Source organism: Homo sapiens, chromosome 22, assembly GCF_000001405.40.
Source record: "Homo sapiens chromosome 22, GRCh38.p14 Primary Assembly".
Classification (NCBI taxonomy): domain Eukaryota; kingdom Metazoa; phylum Chordata; class Mammalia; order Primates; family Hominidae; genus Homo; species Homo sapiens.
The window spans coordinates 26,447,506-26,468,879 of NC_000022.11; the positions used below are offsets into that span (position 1 = coordinate 26,447,506).

At 47.7% G+C, this 21,374-nt stretch overlaps 1 protein-coding gene across 58 annotated transcripts in view; it reads right to left on the reverse strand.

Moving 5' to 3' along the window:
• Positions 1 to 21,374, reverse strand: part of HPS4 (HPS4 biogenesis of lysosomal organelles complex 3 subunit 2) — a 40,755-nt gene that overhangs the window by 4,397 nt on the left and 14,984 nt on the right. For 10 of the 58 annotated variants that reach the window (NR_073135.1, NR_146314.1, NR_146311.2 and 7 more), the window contains 7 exons: positions 21,046 to 21,118; positions 18,721 to 18,757; positions 17,950 to 18,046; positions 16,412 to 17,321; positions 10,940 to 11,072; positions 10,354 to 10,462; positions 3,377 to 5,899 (listed from right to left, as the gene is read on the reverse strand). Coding sequence is in view for 41 of the 58 variants with exons in the window: in NM_001349896.1 (NP_001336825.1) it covers positions 5,728 to 5,899; positions 10,354 to 10,462; positions 10,940 to 11,072; positions 16,412 to 17,321; positions 17,950 to 18,046; positions 18,721 to 18,757; positions 21,046 to 21,118 (1,531 nt within the window). In the remaining 17 variants the exon portion in view is untranslated. Of the gene's footprint in view, positions 1 to 3,376; positions 6,468 to 10,353; positions 10,463 to 10,939; positions 11,073 to 16,411; positions 17,322 to 17,949; positions 18,047 to 18,545; positions 18,758 to 19,719; positions 20,395 to 21,045; positions 21,119 to 21,374 lie in introns of those variants that run through there. The other 48 variants (NR_073136.2, NM_001349901.1, XM_011530486.3 and 45 more) reach the window with 18 other exon arrangements.

The window sequence follows — 21,374 nt, forward strand, 5'->3', positions numbered from 1 at the left end:
TATTATGTCGTGGTCTGGGTGGATGGGAGAGGTGCTCCATACACATTGTCAGGATGTAAATATGAGTAGCAGAGGCTAAGCACAGAATGAGGTTTTTGAGGACCGTCATGCCTGCTGCCAGCAACCTTCCATAACATTTAACTCCCCAGCCGAATCTTGCTAACCAGATGTAAACACAGGGAACAGGACAGAATAAGGCCACATATTTTAGAACTGCTGACAGATGGCAGGGAAAACACTCAAGCAGATTGCAGCATTAGGAGGCAGGAGGGAGCACACACAGGGATTGGTTTACTTTCCGCCTCTTTCCCAGGCACACACGTTGCTTCTAACTTCTGGGTACCTGCCCTTCCCCATATCTCCCCGCTTCCCATACATTAGCCACCCCCACGTTCGAGGTGAGGGCACCTGCTTCTTTGAGCATGGAGAGCACTGTGCACCCTACGAGGTTCCTTCCCCTACCTCATCCTTGTCAATTGCACATTTAACACATGAGGAAACAGGCTCAGAGCGGGCAGCTGACATGAACAAGGTCACGCAGCCAGCTGCAGGGCGAGCTGGAATTGGAAGCCGAGTATCCAGGCTCGCAGCACAGCGCATCTTCTGAAGTCTGGACACACATCCAGGACTCACTTCCTCAACATGCAGAAGGACCACACCCCTCCGGCCCCCAGGTCCTTCTCCCTGTGCTGGGAGGCCATTTGCCTTCTCAGAACACTCAACAGGACCCTCCATTTGCTGAGGGCCCATGATAGGCCAAGTCCTTACATCCATTTCCTTCTCCTGTCCATTTTAAAGAAAAGGACACTGAGGCTCAGAGACAGAAAAGCAACTTGCCCTGATTTCCAGCAATAAGTGGCAGAGCTGCGATTTGAACCCAGCTGTCTGACACCAAAGCCCATGTGCTCCTGCCACAGCCACACAAGCCAGTCCAGCCTGGGTGGGGAGGAAGGATGCACAAGGTGTCTTTGAACAGCACACTCGGTAGAGGACTTGTCTCCCTCTCCTCCCCATGGGTTTGGCAGCCTGGGCCTCAAGCCCTTTCCTCAGGGTGCTTGGCCCAGCTGACAGCGAGGCAGGGCAGGGGAGAAGGGTTGCAACTTTTCGGCTTATACCTCGGCATGCACAGGCAATCATAAAACACCTCCCAGCTCTTGACAGGATTCCAAAGCACTCTCTGGGTTTTATTCTCAGGGGAAGTACAGCTAATTTCAGGTTTGGACATTTAAATACTGGATCAACAGAGAAGGTGTCCTATTTTCACCTTGAAGCCCTTAGAATCTTCACTGTAAGCTTCTCAAACTCAACAAATATGTTGAAGAAAGATCTAGAGTATGTTTTATTTCTAAGCTAGGATGCTGAGAGTGGGTCTGACACCTGCCCTCCCCTGTCTCCTCACAGAGAGCCGGGTGGCAGTCAGAATCAAGAAGCAAAGCAGGAGACAAGTGCTTTCCCACACCCACTGCCCTTTTCCCAGGAGCAGCGGTGGGTTCAGGGGTTGGGAGAGGAGTGTGTGTGTCGGGAGCACAGGCTGAGAGTATTAGTGTGGGTTTCCTGCTCACTCCGTCCGCCAGCTCCTTCAGGGCAGGAATCTATCTCCTTGGCTGCCTTCTCCACTGGGGCTGTCCCTCCCCGCCCCAAACCTCATCAGTGCCCAGGCTCGTCTGCCCATTATCTGGCCTCCTCTCTGCTTCAGCCATTCCACTTCCCACCTGGACAACCATAGCCTCCTGGTGGTTTCCACTGTTGCCCAGCTTATCCCCTACTCAGGAGCTAGTGACCTTCCTCATGAGAACCAGCTCCAGTCACTCCCCTGCATTTTTTTTTTTTTTTTTTTTTTTTGAGACAGAGTCTCACTCTGTCACCCAGGCTGGAGTGCAATGAATCTCAGCTCGGCTCACTGCAACCTCCGCCTCCTGGGTTTAAGCAATTCTCCGGCTTCGGCCTCCCGAGTAGCTGGGATTACAGGCATGCGCCACCCCACCTGGTTAATTTTTGTATTTTTAGTAGAGACAGGGTTTCATCACGTTGGCCAGGCTGGTCTTGAACTCCTGAGCTCAAGTGATCCACCCGCCTCGGCCTCCCAAAGTGCTGGGATTATACAGGCGTCACACCGCGCCCATCCCACTCCCCTGCTTAAAGGCTCCCCTGTGCCCCGCGCCATGGCAACCTCATGTGGGGCCCCAGCTCTTCTCACGCCCTCCGTGCTCTGTGGCTCGGCGCTACTGAGAGAGAGGGAACTGGGCATCACAAGGAGAAAGCAAGTTGGCAGGAGGATGGATTTGTTTCCTCTGGCTGCTGTAACAAATGAGCATATACCCAGAGGCTTACAACACAAACCCATGCTCTCACGGTTCTGGAGGCCGAAGTCTGAAATCAGTTTCACGGGACCGAATTCAGTACGTTGACAGTCACAGTCCCTCCGCACACTCTAGGGCAGAATCCACTTCTTGCCTTTTCTGGCACCTGGTGGCTGCTGGCATTCCTTGACTGGCGGCCACATCACTCCAGTCTTTGCCATCTTCACGTGGCCTTCTCCACGTGAGTAACCTCCCCCTGCCCCTCTCCTAAAAGCACATTTGTGAGGGCATTTAGGGACCACGGGATAAGCCAGGATCATCTCTTCGTCTCAAGATCCTTCACTCAACCACATCTGCAAACATCCGATCCAACAAGGCAACATTCACAGGTTCTGGGGATTGGGACCTGATCTTTGGGGGCCACCATTCAGCTCACTGCACACACAGGGAAGTGGCCTGTGGCAGGGAGGCTCACACCAGAGAAAGGTCTGCTGCTACTCACCCACCCCGAGCAGGGCGGGGTGTTAAGAACGCAGTAACTGGGCGGCATGGGAAGTACATCTTAGCCACATTGGAAAAGACCACCAAATATGCAAGACAGACACCATGGAGGGCGACTTCAACAAAGCCCCTGGGCTCCACTTGCTACCACCCTCTGTCGGTTGAAGTGACAACGGCCCAGAAGTCTAGATGCTTCCCTCCAGGGGAGGAGACAGTTTGATCAGGCTCAAACATCCCCTCTAGGGGTCCTTTCCCAGTAGGAATCTGATTGCCACTTGATATGGTTTGGCTGTGTTCCCACCCAAATCTCATTTTGTAGTTCTCATAGTCCCCACATGTCGTGGGAGGGACCTGGTGGGAGGTAATTGAATTATGGGTGTGGTTACTTCCATGCTGTTCTTGTGACAGTTCTCGTGAGATCTGATGGTTGTATAAGGGGCTTTTCCCCCCTTTCACTCTGCACTTCTCTTTGCTGCCACCATGTGAAGAAGGATGTGTTTGGTTCCCCTTCTGCCATGATCATAAGTTTCCCAAGGTCTCTCCAGCCCTGCAGAACTGTGAGTCAGTTAAACCTCTTTCCTTTATAAAGTACCCAGTCTCGGGTATGTCTTTATTAGAACCGTGAGAACGGACTAACACACCACTATTAATCACTCATGCGACCTTTATCCTTACAGTTCACAGGTGGCAGATGGCTGGCACAGAGGAAGCCAAAACAGAGGCTTTTCTGCCCTGAAGAGTCACTAGAATCTGTGGTCCTGGATCACTGACAGTGGCACTCGGTGTCAACTAGGAGTCCAGGGTGGGCAGGCTGTCCTGCACACTGCCTTCCCTTGGGAAACATGGCCATAAGAGGTTGTGGTGCCCATTCCAGCAAGAACATGCTGCTTGGCTGTCCGTCGCTTGGCCCGTACTCTGGGGGCGCTAATTTTGAGGGGATGGGCCTGGGGCTGTGGGATTAACCGTGTCCTGAGTGACCCCCTGAAACCTCTGAAATATTAAAAAACGGGAAAACAGCGGGTTAAGTGTTTCTTCTCTGCAGCCTCTGGGCCACAGTTACCAAGCTTTAGAGATGACGGCTGCAGCTGCCAGTGCCCTGGGGCTCTGAGCAGAACCTCCACTGCAGAAACTAAGCAGGATCAAAGGAGGAAAGAAAGGGGCACACCTGCAAAGTGAAGTTTCAGGACTTTACTTTTTCTGAGTTAATCCAGGTGCATGAGACTTTTCCATATACACGGATAGGCTTTGTACGGTTCCATTTTGGGTCAGTGGAAGAATTTTCACAACACAAATGACATTATAAAGTTGTCTTCGCTGGCCTGGTACTGGGGACCACTGGTCAAAGACAACGTGAGACATTGCGGGGACTTCCTGGAGCTGCAGCAACCACAGCAGAGAACTTGTAATCAATTTTTTCTGGGAGAACATAGCAGAGGAGTAAGACAACATTTATCCTAGCTTCGGATAGGATCCTCTTCCATCTAGGCAGATGGGATCCAAGAGACAGCAGAGATCCTGGAGAGAGGTGATAGAAGAGGGAGACACAGGCTTGGTGTATTGGATCAGCTGCAGCTGGTGCTCCCTGGAGCAGCAGGCTGCAGCCTGGCAGCCCTACAAACAGACGGTCCTTACCCAGCCACACTGAACCCAGGGAAGGAAAAGAGGGATGCGCCCACGTTACGCGCGCGCGCGCGCGCGCACACACACACACACACACACACACACACACACACACACTGTCTTAACCCTTACCTTTGTCACAAAAAAATGCTGCCATTTAATTACTCAGAACTCCAGCATTTTTTGGCTATTTTATTTCTAGCCCTTGGAAGCTTGTTTCAAGAAAAAGACACCATATCATAAACATCAGATATCAGTTCACTGACATGAAATTATTAACAATACAACTCTCAAATGGAATCTCAAGTACTTCCAGTAAACATTCAGTTAAGATTTTGACAAATATTTTCATCCTGCAGTCTGTCTCATACTGTCAAAAAAATGTCTGACTATAACGTAATAGAACTGAGGTTCTAAGTACCACACAAGCCCAGGAACACACAGCTGAGTGTCGCTCCCTTTCACGCAGCCACCACTGAAAAGCACAGTGCTTTTACCCCCAGACATCTTGTAAACTCCTATTTAGGGACACTCGCTCGAGAGGAACCAGCTGCACGGCCCACTTGTAGTCAAAGGCAGCGCAGGTTGGTCCTGTTGTCACTGAATTCTCAGGGCTCAGCCCCCAGAGCTTTTATAAAGGGATCTCTAAAGCCCAAACTCCCTTCCATATTATTAAGGCTTGCCCCCATTGTGGGTCCAAAGAAGACGCCCCTAGATTTGAGTAGAGTTCCAACAGAATTCAACCAAGTGGTCTCCGTGTGCTGCCGCTTCCCTGCAGGAACGATCCGGACCTCCCAGCAAGAGCGCACTGGAGAAACCTACCTGCGGCGTGGGAGTGGAGTCGGCCTGCTCACAGATCCGGCACCTCGCTGTGCAGTCACACCGCCTACCACCACCTGGTGTGGGGGTTGAACACACACACTCTGGGCTAGTGGACGATCAGGTTCTAGAAAAAATGCCAACTTGGAAGCTTGTGGCACCAATTCAAGCTGGGATGGAACAGCAGGAGATATGAAATACCTCAGGCTCAGTATGGCAGAGAGGGAGCCAAGCCCGTCCCGGCCCCAACACTACCGATTAAATACAGTTCTTTATCAAGTGCTCTGGGTCTGCCGACCTGAAGAACTAACCCCTGCCCCCAAAACACATCCCAATCTGCAAAAGGAATAACAAAAACTCAAATATCATTTGGTTCCTAAAAAAGGGAATGTTTTCAAGAAAAATAAAATAGAGGGGCCTTTTCAATTATAAAAGGCAGAGCTTCCTTTGCTGGTTTTCTCCTTCCCAGTCACCTCCTGGGTGCAGTTCAGAGCAAGTTCACCCCGTGCTTCAGCAGCTTCTGCTTTGCTTTGCCGGAGAGGCTGAAGGCGCCATCCTGAGGGTTTGGGAAGCCGGAGCTCCGTGCTGCAGGTGCCAGCTGCTGGAAATATGTCTCCTGGATGGGGTTGCAACAGGCGTACACAGCCGTGGAGGCATTTCTGTTGGAGGAAGAAAGAAGGCAACGGTCCAATGCTGCTGGTGCTAATCTCAGACCACACAGAGACCTCAGTAAGGTTCTTGTCACAGAGGACCCAGGACACCCAATGTGGCATGTGCAGCTGTCATGGCACGGAATTCTATTTCTTCAGCTGAGTTTCAGGCTTCAGTGCCAATACCATCTTTCCTTCCTTTCAGCTCACTAGATGCTGGAAGAGTCCGTGGCGGGACCATCCACAGTGGCAGCAGCCACAGATCCTGGAGTTATAAGTATTGCATAAAGGAACTGTGGAGTGCTGGCTTTTTTGACATACTGGCAGCTATGCAATGTGCTCTGCATACAGTCTCTGCTTTGCCCCTCACATAAGCTCTGCAGTGGTGGTATGGTCCCATTTCACAGACAAGGACCCTGAGGCTCAGAGTGAGTAGCTGGGGCTGCCCTGCCTCTATGACGAGGCAATGGCAGTGTCCGAGAAAGGAGTCTAGTCTGCTCTCCACACTGGGGGTGGCTGGATAGACTGAGAGGGAGTGAAGGACAGGAGTGGGATGTGACACGAAGTGACAGGAAGCCTGTGGACACAGAGAGGGAGGGATGAGGGCACTACACAGAGGCGGAGCCACCTGGGAGGAGCCAACTCCAGGCCAAGGTAAACAAACCCCCCTGGTTTCTGGATCCTGCCTCTCCAACTATTATGGGCCTCAGTTTCCCCCAAATCTAGTGAGAAAGGGTGGAGTCAGGGACTGCTAAGGCTCCCCTCACTCAATTCTCTCCTTCCCTGTAAGGGAGAAAAATCCCACCCTATTCCAAGCTTCAGTGTCTCCTGCACCCACTGGCCCAGCAAGACAATCTCTTCTCACAGCCCTGTGGGAGGGCTCCGAGGCCAGATGGTTATGAGCATGGATCTGGAGTCACACACACTCAGGTGCTAATCCCAGCCCTATTACTTCCTAGTGTGTGTCCTGGGCTGCTATTCAACATTTCTGAGTCCCAGCTTTTTCATCTGTACAGTGTTTGTTGCAACAGTATGTGTCCTCATTGGTGTTTTTGTTTTGTTTTGTTTTAAAGAATGAGATTAAGTGAGTGCTTAACACATTGTGAGTGGTTAAGAAATGGTAGCTGTTCATATGTAGAAAGCTGAAACTGGATCCCTTCCTTACACCTTACACAAAAATTAATTCAAGATGGATTAAAGACTTACATGTTAGACCTAAAACCATAAAAACCCTAGAAGAAAACCTAGGCAATACCATTCAGGACATAGGCATGGCCAAGGACTTCACATCTAAAACACCAAAAGCAATGGCAACAAAAGCCAAAATTGACAAATGGGATCTAATTAAACTAAAGAGCTTCTGCACAGCAAAAGAAACTACCATCAGAGTGAACAGGCAACCTACAGAACGGGAGAAAATTTTCGCAACCTACTCATCTGACAAAGGGCTAATATCCAGAATCTACAATGAACTCAAACAAATTTACAAGAAAAAAACAAACAACCCCATCAAAAAGTGGGCGAAGGATATGAACAGACACTTCTCAAAAGAAGACATTTATGCAGCCAAAAAACACATGAAAAAATGCTCATCATCACTGGCCATCAGAGCAATGCAAATCAAAACCACAATGAGATACCATCTCACATCAGTTAGAATGGCGATCATTAAAAAGTCAGGAAACAACAGGTGCTGGAGAGGATGTGGAGAAATAGGAACACTTTTACACTGTTGGTGGGACTGTAAACTAGTTCAACCATTGTGGAAGTCAGTGTGGCGATTCCTCAGGGATCTAGAACTAGAAATACCATTTGACCCAGCCAACCCATTACTGGGTATATACCCAAAGGATTATAAATCATGCTGCTATAAAGACACATGCACACGTATGTTTATAGCGGCACTATTCACAATAGCAAAGATTTGGAACCAACCTAAATGTCCAACAACGATAGACTGGATTAAGAAAATGTGGCACATATACACCATGGAATACTATGCAGCCATAAAAAATGATGAGTTCATGTCCTTTGTAGGGACATGGATGAAACTGGAAACCATCATTCTCAGCAAACTATTGCAAGGACAAAAAACCAAACACCACATGTTCTCACTCATAGGTGGGAATTGAACAATGAGAATACATGGACACAGGAAGGGGAACATCACACACTGGGGCCTGTTGTAGGGTGGGGGGAGGGGGGAGGGATAGCATTAGGAGATATACCTAATGCTAAATGACGAGTTAATGGGTGCAGCACACCAACATGGCAAATGTATACATATGTAACACACCTCACGTTGTGCACAGCACATGTACCCTAAAACTTATAATAATAATAAAATTAAAAAAAAAAAGAAATGGTAGCTGTTGTTTCTATTACTGTTATTGAAATAATCTCTCAACAAATGCCTTGAGCTATGTGTCTCAACACTAAACCCCTCTCAGCTCTAAGGAAGGTGACATACTGCAGGGCCACAAGGTGGTTGGTGGAGCAGATGCTGACATTTTACTTGTTTCCACCTCCCACAAAACAGACACACACACCCCCAACACAGCCAGTTCCCAAACCAGTGACTGTAGATGCAAGTTGCCTCTGGGTTGCCAGCCTGGGGCAGCTGTGAATTAAAGCCAGAGAAGACACATTTCTGACAGAAAGATCTATTGGAATATTGGCTGGAGACGCTGAGAGGCAGCAGAACACCTGGCGCTCAAGTGTGGCGGGTGACAGGGAATCAGAACCATCCTAATCACCCACCCAGGCTCCCTGTCAGTCCACCACCCATGCCCCTCACACTGGACCACACTGCCCCGACACTGAAATGTGTGTGGAAAGGTCATACATGTGCTTAACAGTTGGAGAAAATGCTTCAAATCCTGGCCCTGCCACTTAAGAAGAATATAACCCTGGGCAAGCTGCTTATCCTATTTGTGCTTCAATTTTCTCATCTGTAAAATGAGGATTTAAAAAATGCCCTTGAAGCCGGGCGTGGTGGCTCACGCCTGTAATCCCAGCACTTTGGAAGGCCAAGGTGGGCAGATCACTAGGTCAAAACATTGAGACTATCCTGGCCAACATGGTGAAACCCTATCTCTACTAAAAATACAAAAATTAGCTGGGCATGGTGGCAGGTGCCTGTAGTCCCAGCTACTCAGGAGGCTGAGGCAGAAGAATTGCTTGAAACCAGGAGACAGAGGTTGCAATGAGCCGAGACTGAGCCCCTGCACTCCAGCCTGGCGAGAGTGAGACTCCATCTCAAAATAAATAAATAAAAAATAATGCCCTTGACCAGATGGTTCCAAGGACTACGTGGACTAATATACACATTGCCAGCACTGCCCTTGACCTGCTAACTTGCTTTATTTTCTGTTACCAGTTGTCAACCAAATTCTCAGGTCCCAGTCTCCTCGGGCTTTTATAAAGTGATCTTTAAAGCCCAAACTCCCTTTCTGGTTTCATAAGAGAAGCATATAGAAAGAAAAAAACAAATTCGGTTGGTTAAATACTGTAAATTACAATAATCATAATATTTCTTCTGGCATGGAGGTGTTCAAGCTATGACATAATGTGAAAAAAGACAACTGTAAAATTGTACATTAGTAGAATCCTATTTTCTAGAAGACTTAAAATAATTAAAAATACAATTTATATGTGCAAAAAATAAAAACCAAAAACCAATAAAACCTGGAGCAATATATACCAAACTGTAAAATGTGGTTATTTCCTGGTGTGTGATGGAGATGAGAGAGGAAAATGTTTTACTTGATACATTTCCAAGCATTCTGCATGACTGTATGATCAGCACGTATTACTTTTTTTTTTTTTTTTTTTTTTCTGAGACGCAGTCTCACTCTGTTGCCCAGGCTGGAGTGCAATGGTGTGATCTCAGCTCACTATAACCTCTGCCACCCGGGTTCAAGTGATTCTCCTGCCTCAGCCTCCTGAGTAGCTGGGACTACAGGCACCCACCACCCTGCCCAGCTAATTTTTTGTATTTTTAGTAGAGACAGGGTTTCACCAGGTTGGCCAGGCTGGTCTTGAACCCTGACCTCAAGTGATCCCCCTGCCTCGCAAAGTGCTGAGATTACAGGTGTGAGCCACTGTGCCCAGCCATATTACTTTGTAATTAGAAAGACAACAATATTTCAACACTGTTTCTAGCAAGGAGACGGAGCCACCGTCCCTAGTAATGGATGTAGCTCCATGATGGTGAGGACCTCAGGTTCCTTCACTGCTGGACCCCAAGCGTCTAAAGTAGGAAGGGAACCAGAAAGTCCATGGCACGTGACTGCACAACAGTGGATGATGGCGGCAATAGGAACCGACAAAGGAAGGCCTTAAGGAGAGTAACTAGAATGTTTTTCATCTACTTAGGAATAAGGCGCTGCCTGGGCCCCACAGGTGGTTCCCATGAGCAGGACCGTGGAGAGTAGGTTGGGGAGCGACTCAGGGAGGCTCACCTGACAGTCATTTCATAAAGCGCGGGCAGCTGGGCAAATTCGCTATGCATCAGGCTGACGGCCTGGAGGAAGCGGCGATCCTGCGGGGTGGCCACCTGCGGCAGGTTTGCTTCCAGAAGAGGACACAGAGTTGTGAAGAGCAGACAGTTACCTTCTGCCCTCCCACCCCATGAAGCCCAGTACTGAACACGGGGACTGAGCACGGCTCAAGGCCATGAGTTGGCTGCCCGGGGCAGAGACAAAGGCCCGGGGCATTGGGCTTCGGCTGCCGCCGCTGTGCGATGCAGCACCCGGTTTCTGCGTGTGGATCTCAACATTCTGAGACAAACCCTATCACAGATATGTGAACATGAACTTCTCTCAAAACACTGGGAAACGCCAAAAACAGACACATGAGCAGAGAAGCGTCTGCCCAGTGAACGCCACACTCAGTGGGACTGGGCTCCCGGTGAGAAGAGAGCCCTGAACGCAGGTCAGACAACTCTGTGCACAGCCGTGTCATCATGATGCTGGGGCTCAAGTTCTCATCTCCACCCATCTAGAATCTGGCATCCCCGTCGCCCCAGGCCCCTTGGCTGGTTCTTACCCATCAGCAAGCTCTGAATGCGGTCGTAATGTGTGAAGTTGTAGGTGCTGCTCGTGGAGGCTGCCTCATCCCTGGGCAGCGTCTCTTTCAGGTGGACTTCCAGCCCATTCAGTGAAGCCAGGCTGCTGTGGTACTGCAAAGGGGGAGAGGGTCATGGGCTTGTAGGGCTGACCTCAGCAAGCCTTCTGAGGGCTAGTTAACCACAGACTTAGTTAAAAAAAAAATCCTCCAGCCAGGCACGGTGGCTCACACCTGTAATCCCAGTGCTTTGTGAGACCGAGGCAGGAGGATCACTTAAGCCAGGAGTTTAAGGCTGCAGTGAGCCGAGACCGCACCACCACACTCCAGCCTGGGTGATAGAGTGAGACTCTGTCTCGAAAAAAAAAAAAAAAAATCATTCATGGAGTATCTTACTGCCTACTTGATCCAGCAAAATGGACTCTCACCAACATTTTTCTTTCACCCTTATGTTCTAATGTTTTTAAAAATAATGATTATATTGTAGGAGATTTAGAAAAGAGATGAGCAAAAAAATAACAAGAAAACAACCCATCATTTCACCATCCAGTAATAGCCACTGTCACCACTGTGGTGTATCTTATTTTAACCATGGCTTTCCTACCCAGGCTGCATGATTTCACAATACAAACAGCCTGGGACCATCCCGCATTGTTTCTCACTGGCCCTGGGTACAGAAGTCCCTCACTGGATGTAACACGGTAACTTCTCTCTGCTACACCTAGCACGGTCCTGGCTTTCTTGGAAGGACTGAGTGTCAGTCAAACAGCTTTCTGCACTTGATGGTTCAGAAGAGGAATACAGTTGAGGACGACTGTCAAGGAGATGGGTTCAAGTACCTGTATTTTTACAAACCTCCAAGGAGATAAAGTTTAAGTACAATTGAAAAGACTGGACTAAACTGTTTTGTGTAACTCTTTTTCTGTAAAATAAAAATGAGATCAAATCATAAATAATGACTGATAGTTTTTTAACCTAACAACACAGCATGAACTGCTTTTCTCGTCTTTAAATATTCTATCATATAATTCTTTAATGGCTGTGCAGTGTTCCTCAAGCTCCACTGAGGGCTTGACTCAGTAGGCCAGGCCTGTCATAATAGGCTTGGTCTGAAATGGGGTTTCCTGGGCCTGCTTCAGCCACAAGAAAGAAGGTCACTGTCCCCAAACATTTGCAGTTCCCAGGTAAAAAACATCCCAAGTTCAGCCTCTTTTTAGTCAAATGACCAGGAGCAAGTTACCAAGTTTTCTGTGCCTCATTTTTCTAGTCAACTGCAAAATGGGAACAGTACGGGACTATTGAGTGACTTAAATGAAATGACACATCCAAAAGTCCTTTGTAAACTCTAAAGTGCTATCCTGAGGCAGAGTCTTTTTATAAAGTCAAGGAAATGAAAATAATCATATAAAAGAAATGGTGTCTCTTTAGAGATCACAGATAATTTGTGGACTATTTTTCAACAGCTATGTAAGAAAAATAAGTGCATATAAAAAGTACAGAGATGCAAACAGAATGCTTCTGAAGTAAATGTCATGAAGCTTACATGTTATTTTGGGAGTATATTGGTGTTAAATCAGTTTTCCTGTATGAAAGTCTCAGAAATGATATTTCAAGTCAATAGGTGTGACATACAAAGTTATTTTCTATGCGCTCAGTTTTGTATCCTCAATGCTTAGTAGAGTGTCTGACTCCTAGTAGGTGCTCAATAAATGAATCCACTAAATGAATGAATAAATGAACACATCCAATGCCAAGCACTGCCAATTTATGAGCTATTTGGTTTAAACCAAGGTTGCAGAGCTATGTAAAAAGATATGTGCTCAGGAAAGACAATCATAATATCTCATGTTCAGATCACTGAGAGAGCCTGACCAACACTGCGTTTAACACTGAGCCTCTTATTTGAACAGATGTGTGTGTGTGCATGTGCCGACACGCACACGGGCACACATAAGCATTCACCTGATGAAGTCAAACCACAGCCTCACTGAAAGTTTTTGGACCTCAAGAACGTGCTAACAGTCATCCCTTCCATGCTGAGCTGGTGTCCAGAGGAAGAAACAATAAGAACAGAGAGTGAGCCATGCCAAAAACTGTTTCCCCACAGGCACGGAGCTTTGCTTCCAAAATCTTCTGCCTAACTTGCACTCAAGATAGGATCACTTAACCATAAAAACACAGTTAATCACAAGATGCTATGTCAGATGACATGTGGATAATTTTTACTGATAACCAAGTGCTTTCATACATACCAGGGGTCAGCAAACTCTAGCCTATAAACTAAATCCAGCCTGTTGCCTATCTTTGTACAGTCTGAGACCTAAGAATGGTTTTTATATTTTTTTACTTGGTTGGGGAAAAAAGTCAAAAGAATAATATTGTAACATGTGCAAATTATATGAAGTTCCAATTCCATGTCCATAAATAATTACTGGAATACAGTCATACCATTTATATACTGTCTATGGCTGTTTTTGTACTGCAACAGCAGAGCTGAAAAGCTGTGCAAAGCTGAAAATATTTGCTTTCTGGTCCTTTACATAAAATGTTTGCCAGCCACCGATATATACTGCTACATAATGTGATCCTCACAACAGCCCTAGGCAACACAGAGCTGAGGCTAATTCCCGGGTCCTCTGACTTCTAGTGCACACGAAAGCAAGTGGCACAAATGTCAGTGTGTGACACAGCGTGCAGCAGGAGCAATGCATGGAACACACATTCACTTAGAGATACCGGTTTCCCAGTTGGGGGAAGGTGTTTTTTCATAAAATGTTTTATGGCAACACTCTCACACTAACTTCAAGCCTCATGTACTGTACACAGAAGCTCCATGTCCTATTGTAGTGATAAATAATTAATCTGATCACTGTGTTTGAAGGTCAAGGAGATTATCTTGGGGTCTGAGTAATGGACTATCAGCGGCTCTATGCTGCCCCCTGGTGTGAGCCTATTCCACTCCCTCTGAGGGAATTCCAGCCCCAATCCCAACCCTCCTGGCTGCTCCACCCAGGGCTCCTTTCACCAATCCCAACCCCTGCTGCCCCTCACCCTACCCCTACTCCCTGTGGAAGCTGATCCACCCAAAGACAAGACAGCCAAATGACACAAGGGCAGCTTGGCAGTATGTAACATCATTAAGGAGCCCTTGCAAAAGGGGTGTGCTCACCGTAACTGGGGGTATTTGGTTTTTCTAGACAGTAGCAGAGGGGCTGCAGGGAAATCAGATAAAGTATTTTCAAGGCTAGTCTGGGACAAAAAGGCAATCAAACACCTCTTCCTGATTATAAAACAGAAATCCTTTGGGTCTGATTAACAAACCCACTCTCAAACCAGTGGGCTGATCAAAGTTAGTCACTCCATACTAGAAAAGATTAGCTTTTCAGGGATGGGTGCAATCATGCCTGTAATCCCAGCACTTTGGGAGGCCGAGGCGGGCAGATTACCTGAGGTCAGGAGTTCGAGACCAGCCTGACCAACATGGAGAAACCCCGTCTCTACTAAAAATACAAAATTAGCCGGGCCTGGTGGCACATGCCTGTAATCCCAGCTACTCAGGAGGTTGAGGTAGGAGAACCGCTTGAACCGGGGAGGCGGAGGTTGCAGTGAGCTCAGATCACACCATTGTACTCCAGCCTGGGCAACAAGAGCGGAACTCCATCTCAAAAAAAAAAAAAAAAAAGAAGAAAAGATTAGCTTTTTCTCTTCCATAAAACTGCAGTCTATTTCCCGGGGCCTAGCCAGCATCAAACCCTGCTTTCCACAGAAGCCCATGGAGGCTGATGTCGTAACAGCATGGATAGACCTTGACAAACCAGGGGATATGGCCATAGAGCACGAGCCACAGAAGGCAGGACACTGACCCCCTTTCTTCAGCTTCCCAGCTATCACTGCAAGGGCAGGGCAGTGGGGGGACAGAGAGGCTGGGGTGGGGAACCAGAAACAAGCAAGAATTCTGGACCTGCCACTTGCAGGAAGTCTTTTCATCTCAATGAGGCTGTTTTCTTACTGGTAAAATGGGAGTTACAATGCCTCCTTCCCAGAACTGTTCTAAGGCTTGGCTAAAACGAGAGATGCGAAGTATTTCACATATAGTTGGTGCAGAATACATCTCAAAGAGCAGCCTGGGCTATTTTTTCCTTTTTGTGGGGGAAGGTAAAAAGAGAGGTATTATATCCACTTTATTGCATTCAAACACTGGGCCCTTCAAAATGACACTTCCAAGGCTCGACACTGTGCAGAACAGACCATGAAAACCAAGGCATTGGCAGGGAGATGAGGCATTTAACACTGCAGCCACAACTCCCCGCACTGCTATAAGAAGGAGATGGATAGTCACTCCTAGCTATGGTGAATGGGGATACAGGAAGCAAATGAGCCATAACTCAGTGATCCAGCGTCTGTGGAAAGGGCACAGAGAAGCCTGACAGCTCCAGAGAGCATTCTCTTGCTAGGAGCTCTGTGCAAGGAAGCTGCTGTGCAGTCTTATCTCTTCTTCTGTATTTCAAGGTGACTAGCTCATTTATGGAGGGTCACAAGCCCTGCATGATAGTAAGATCAGCTTAGAATAATACACATTTAAGAATAAAAACAAGGAAAGCCCCAAGACACCATTTGCCCTGCAGCAATTTCAACCTGCTGTTCTTACTGCTACCACTTTCCCTGCCTACTAAAGCAAGGCTGTTACTATAGCAACGAATCTCCAGCGTGGGCCCCAGGGAAGGTCAGTTTACCACTCTAAGCCTCTAAGCGGGGAAGGGGCTGCAATAGTTTAAGAGCCCTCCAGAGCCAGGCAGGATTTCAGACATCCCAGCCTTCTAGGAAGGAGCTTCAGATCAGGTACGATGCTGGGGCTATGGAGGGAAACACTGGGTTTCTAGGGAACTCCCAACCCAGGCTGTGACACACTGCGGAGGAGTTTCCAGCTGACACAGAACCTAGAGCTGTCCAGGCTAGGAAATGAGGCCATGAGCAGGGGCGGCACAACACATGCACGTACGTGTGCAGTCTCTGCCTGCATTATCTCACTGCATCTGGAACAGGAAGGTCTACCACCATCCCTACGTGACTGAGGAGTTAGCCAAGGCTCAAGGGGACAAAGGTCTGTGGGCAAGTTCACACAGCTAGAGGACAAGGGCCAGGATTCCATCTCAGGCCTTCCCTTTCTCCAAGGCCTGCGCTCTGCAAAACTAGAAACAGCGGAAGAAGAGAACCAACACTTGTTGGATGCCAATGCACCACCAGTGCTATGCGCTTGACTCACTCTTACCCCCCACAAAAACCCACAGAGGCAGGTAATACCTCCATCGTCTAAACAAGAACGTCTTGCCCAGGGTCACACAACTGAGGGCTGAGCCTTTATCTCTTCCCTGGGTGTTGGCACAGTGCTGTGAGGGAAGCACAGGAGATCGGCAGAGGCCGCAGAGGGGCAGGAGAAGGTCTGAGGACACTCACCACTTCCTCTATGGCTGCGCTGTCTCCCAGCAGCGGCTCCTCAGCCAGCAGGGACAGCACCAGCCCTTTGACGCAGTGAGTGTAGAGATTCATCCTCACGAGCCCCATGCAGGACTCTGCTGGTGTCAGCCTGGAGCTGATTCCATCTGCAGAGGGGCCAGCACCCTGACAGTTTGCTGAGCCTGAACTGCATTCCAGACCAGGGGCTGCGTGGCTTTCACAGACCCCATCAACATCCTCATCCAGGCCTTGTTCCCCCGTGGGAAGCTTGTTTCCTCTCTGTCCTGGATCTAAGCGAGGCAATAACAAGGGCCTGCGGGTCCTTCTGGGGAGAGGGTCTGCTCTGGGAATGGGGGCTTGGCTGCTATGGCCAGGATGGTCTTCGAGCTGCTCTTGGGCTCCATGCTGGGTCAGCATCTCAGGAGCAGAGGGAGGGCGCAAGCTGCTGATGGCTGTGTCCTCAGGAGGCGTGGGTTCCAGGCTGCTGGAGGCGCTGAGAGATGCCTTGCAGTAAGGAGCCCTGCCATCTGGAACAGGCACATGTAGGAAGGCAAAATGACCTGAGGCCATTTCCACTTCCTGAGCCTCTGGAATGTGGATTTCAGACAAGTCGAGTTCTTCTTGGAGAAAGACTAGTTCCTTCCCCAGGGAGGAGCTGAGGCCAAGAACCTCACCCCTGGCAGAGTTGTGCAGTCCTGCGGGCCTGATGCTCTCCAGATCATGGCCAGACAAGCATCCGTTCTCCTTCCTGCCATCTGGACAAGCTTCGTCAGGGGATGTGGGATCTGGGGTGGTCCAGGCCATGGATTCCACATGGCCAGTGGCGTTTTCTTTCAGGGCAGATGTGCTCCCACCCTTTGGATGGTGCTGGGCTGAACCATCCTGGAGTCCTGCTGGAGATGCTAGAGACCTGGCAAACAAGAGAGATGTAAGGAAGGGGCACGTTGACAGACTGCAGGGCAAGTGCCCTTCCACAGTGAAGACTAAAGCACAGGCATCAAGGACAAGGGGGTGCCTGAGGCCACAGAGCCTAAGAGGCCACCAGAGTTAAATCACAAGAGTAAAAATACACCAACATCTGGCCCTTGGGGCTTTACGTAGTGACACCAGACTCACCTACTGAAAATGGCAGAGCCCACTGAATAAGACTGACCCACATCTGGAAGGTCTCCTACGCATCAGGCCCTATACTAGGTGCTGTACCTATACTATTTTCAAGTGTCACAATGAACTCATGAAAGGGATACTATTTTGTCTACTTTTCAGATGAAAAAACTGAGGCTCAGGCAGGGAATGGACTTGCCCAAGGTCCCATAGCTGGTATAAGTAAGAGAGCTGGGATATGAAAGCCAATGTCATCTCTCTATGCCACTCTGTTTCTTAACAAACTCAAGATTCAGATGCTCCTTTACAAGACAGGGCATGGGGAAGATGGAATTAAGGAACGATGGGATGTATCAGAGGTTTGTTTTTTAACCAATCACGCGATGGGGTCCCTCAGGTGTGGTGCAAGGTTAACTCTCTGTGCACTCCATTACCTTGTCATCTGTTCCACCGGGAACTCGTGGAGACTAATGGCTTCCTCTTTGGTCACAAAAACAGGGATAATCTGGACATTCGGGGGCAATGCCGCTCCTGGAATTGCAAAGCAATATGAACAGGACTTTCCCCTGAGCCAGAGAGGGCAGCGGGGCAATAGCTGCACTGGCGTGATGCATCCAACCCACACGTGGGCTCGGAAAGGGGTGCTGTGAGTGCATTCCTCAGCCAGGACACAGGTTGCCAAACTGCACCTCGAACTCCTGGGCCCAGTAAGGAAAGAGTCCCTGCAGGCAACATGACTCCCAGCTTTGGAGAAGGAAGATGTTCGGGAGAGAAAGGTTGAAAAGCACTTTTACAAGAAGAAGATATAAGCTAAGAAAGGGATCTGCTCCAACTCAGGCTTCAGAATAAATCGAAATAACTCTCCTGAGGACGCCTCCACATCCTGCAAAAGGTCTTTCTGGCAGTCGCTGTTTGCCTTACCCTCTCCCAATCACAATCTCCTGGCACTTGACCGAGCAGTCTCACAATATGAAGTTAAGGAGGGTCTGAAAGCAGGGATTTGACAGCATGCCTAAAATCATAGCTTTACCATTAGGGTTCTGGTGGGTAACTCGATTCTTGAAGCTCCATAACATCCATTTTCCTATTATGAGCAGAGGAAATAAACATGCAGATGGCTTGGTTTCCTTCGCATAACTTGTACAGGGGTAGGTAGCATAAAAGACCGCCGTTCTCAAGAGGCAACCATGCGCCTCACTACTTACCATGTTCCTGCGGGGCATCCTCTCCCGTAGGGAGTCTCTGAAAACAAACACACACAGAAGTTGGCGCTGGGCACCACATTCTCCTCTTGACCTAACCATCAGGAATTTGCTGTGCCATCTGTTCATAAAACTTAGCCAGGCCCAGAAAGCTTGTCCCAACCACATGCTAAGAGCCAAGCAGATGGAACAGAAGCTCCCCCAAGCTGCTGGCTCCCACTATGGCTGGGATGAAGCAAGAACCTGGGCCCACACAGGCTGCAAGGCAGCAGCTCCACCCAAACTCACATCACACTCTACGTTCTGATTTTCTCAGTCTCTCTCCCTTCTGGGAATAAAATTGAGGATTCCTGTTCTCTTTTACACCTTTGGGGAACTCATATTCTAGAATACAGTCACATCTGCCACAGCCCTGATGTAGAATTCACATAAATTCCATTATAATAAAAATGTCAAAATACTGTGACTCTCACGATAAAGGATTTGACTTAAACAAAATGCTATACCCAATCTCTCGTTTGTTCTGGTTCACAATCAGGGCCTAAAACCTGATGATTTTCTCAAAAATGAAAACATCTCTCGTTTCAATCTGAGGGTTCCAAAAGAACCCACCAAAACAAAACCAAACCAAACAAGAACTGCTCTTCTAGCCAAAATGACTTTCAATCTTAGAATGATATGGTGTTCTTCCTTTTTTGGTGATTTTTAAAAAACTATGTTTTAGATTACTAAGCCTAACCTCAATTTACTCTAGACAAAGCGTTGAAAAAAAAAATCACATACAATCCCTCATCCCCAAGCTAGTACTATTAATATTGGGTATTTTTTCCTTAAGCCTATGCAGTTTTTATACTTTTGAGGCCACACTATATAAAATTTCATATTTCTGCTTAAAACAGTAACACGCATTTCCTGCCACTAAAACATCTTTGGCCATTTTAAACGGCTGATTAAAATTTTATGAAGGTTTAAGTGATATGAGTAAATTAATCATTTACCTACCTTAGACCAGTAATTAGTAAACTTTCTGTGCAAAAGACAAGACAGTAAATATTTTTGGCTTTGCAGGGCATATGGTCTCTGTCCCACCTACTTGGTTCTGCTATTATAGCTCAAAAGCAGCCAAATAAAACTTCATTTGTAGGCAGGTGGCCCACAGGCCATAATTTGCCACCTCCTACTTTAAGCATTCAAGTTTTGTCTGATTTTTCACTTTCATAAAGCTTGTTGTGATCAAGTTTTGAGTATAAATTTTTTTCAGCAGTTACATTATTTCCTTAAGATATATTCCTAGAAGTCAAATTATTAGGAAAAAAATAAAGGGCATCCTTAACGTTCTCATTATCAAAGTGTTTCCCAGAAAGGCTACTTGAATTGACACCCATAGCCACAGTGGCTGAGGAGGCTGAATAGAGCCCTACCAGCATTTTACATGCCTGTTCACTAATACATGTAAAAAGACAGCCTCATGATACGCTGGAAACCACAGCTTCATACACAAAACAAAAAAAGGACTGGAAGGAGATATGCCAGATGCTGGCAGTGGCTATCCCTGTACAGTTCAAAGATGGGCAATTTTATTCTCAATGAGCATGCATGGCTTTTTTTTCAATATAAAAACAATTAAATAAATATAAAATGGAAGTATTTTAGAAGAGTTTGTTTTCCTTATTTTTTTATTTTTATTTTTATTTTTTGAGACAGAGTCTCACTCTTGCTACCCAGGCTGGAGTGCAGTGGCGCGATCTCAGCTCACCTCAACCTCTGCCTGCCAGGTTCAAGCGATTCTCCTGCCTCAGCCTCCCAAGTAGCTGGGATTTACAGGTGTGCACCACCACACCCAGCTAATTTTTGTATTTTAAATAGAGATGGGTTTCATCATGTTGGCCAGGCTGGTCTTGAACTCCTCACCTCAAGTGATCTGCCCACCTCAGCCACCCAAAGTGCTGGGATTACAGGTGTGAACCACCGTGCCCAACCCCCTAAATCTTTCTAAAGACACATCCTTTACAGTCTGTCTCTGAAAAGTCTAACATCTCTTTGACATAAAGAGACATCAAATTCTTATGGGAAGTCGAATTCAACCAAGATTTCCTTGGTTTGAAGAAAAAACAACTATCCAGGCCTAGCTCGTGGAAGAAAACATTTTCTTTCAGCCTCACCAATGGCTTCACTACTGAGGAGAATGACATTGGAGGACTTGGGGTCCTGACAAGACCAAGTGAAACAACTGCTCCACGGCCTCTGCTCCTGATCCCTCCAGCCTCAGGCTCAGTGACCAGTGCTCTGGGGGATGCTGTCCAGCCAGGTGGGTGGACTTTACAATACCTGCTCCTGAGGTGCTGTTCGGTGAAGCAGGACCTTGGCGGTGAGGGAGGGCGGGAGTTGGGTGCTGACAATCCTAGGAGGTCACACACAGAACAAGAACACCATGAGACGAAATACACCAAAACACTCCAAATTTTAAAGATGCCTAACAGCCCGTGTTGACGAGGATCTTGGGGACTTGGCTGGTGGGAGTTTCAACTGGTAAAACCCTTACAGAGGGCACTCTGGCAGTTCCTACCAACATTTAAAATATCCAAACCCTTTGACTCAGCTTGTACCAAGATGTATGCGTAAGAATATTCATTACAGGGAGAATGGTAAAAACAATT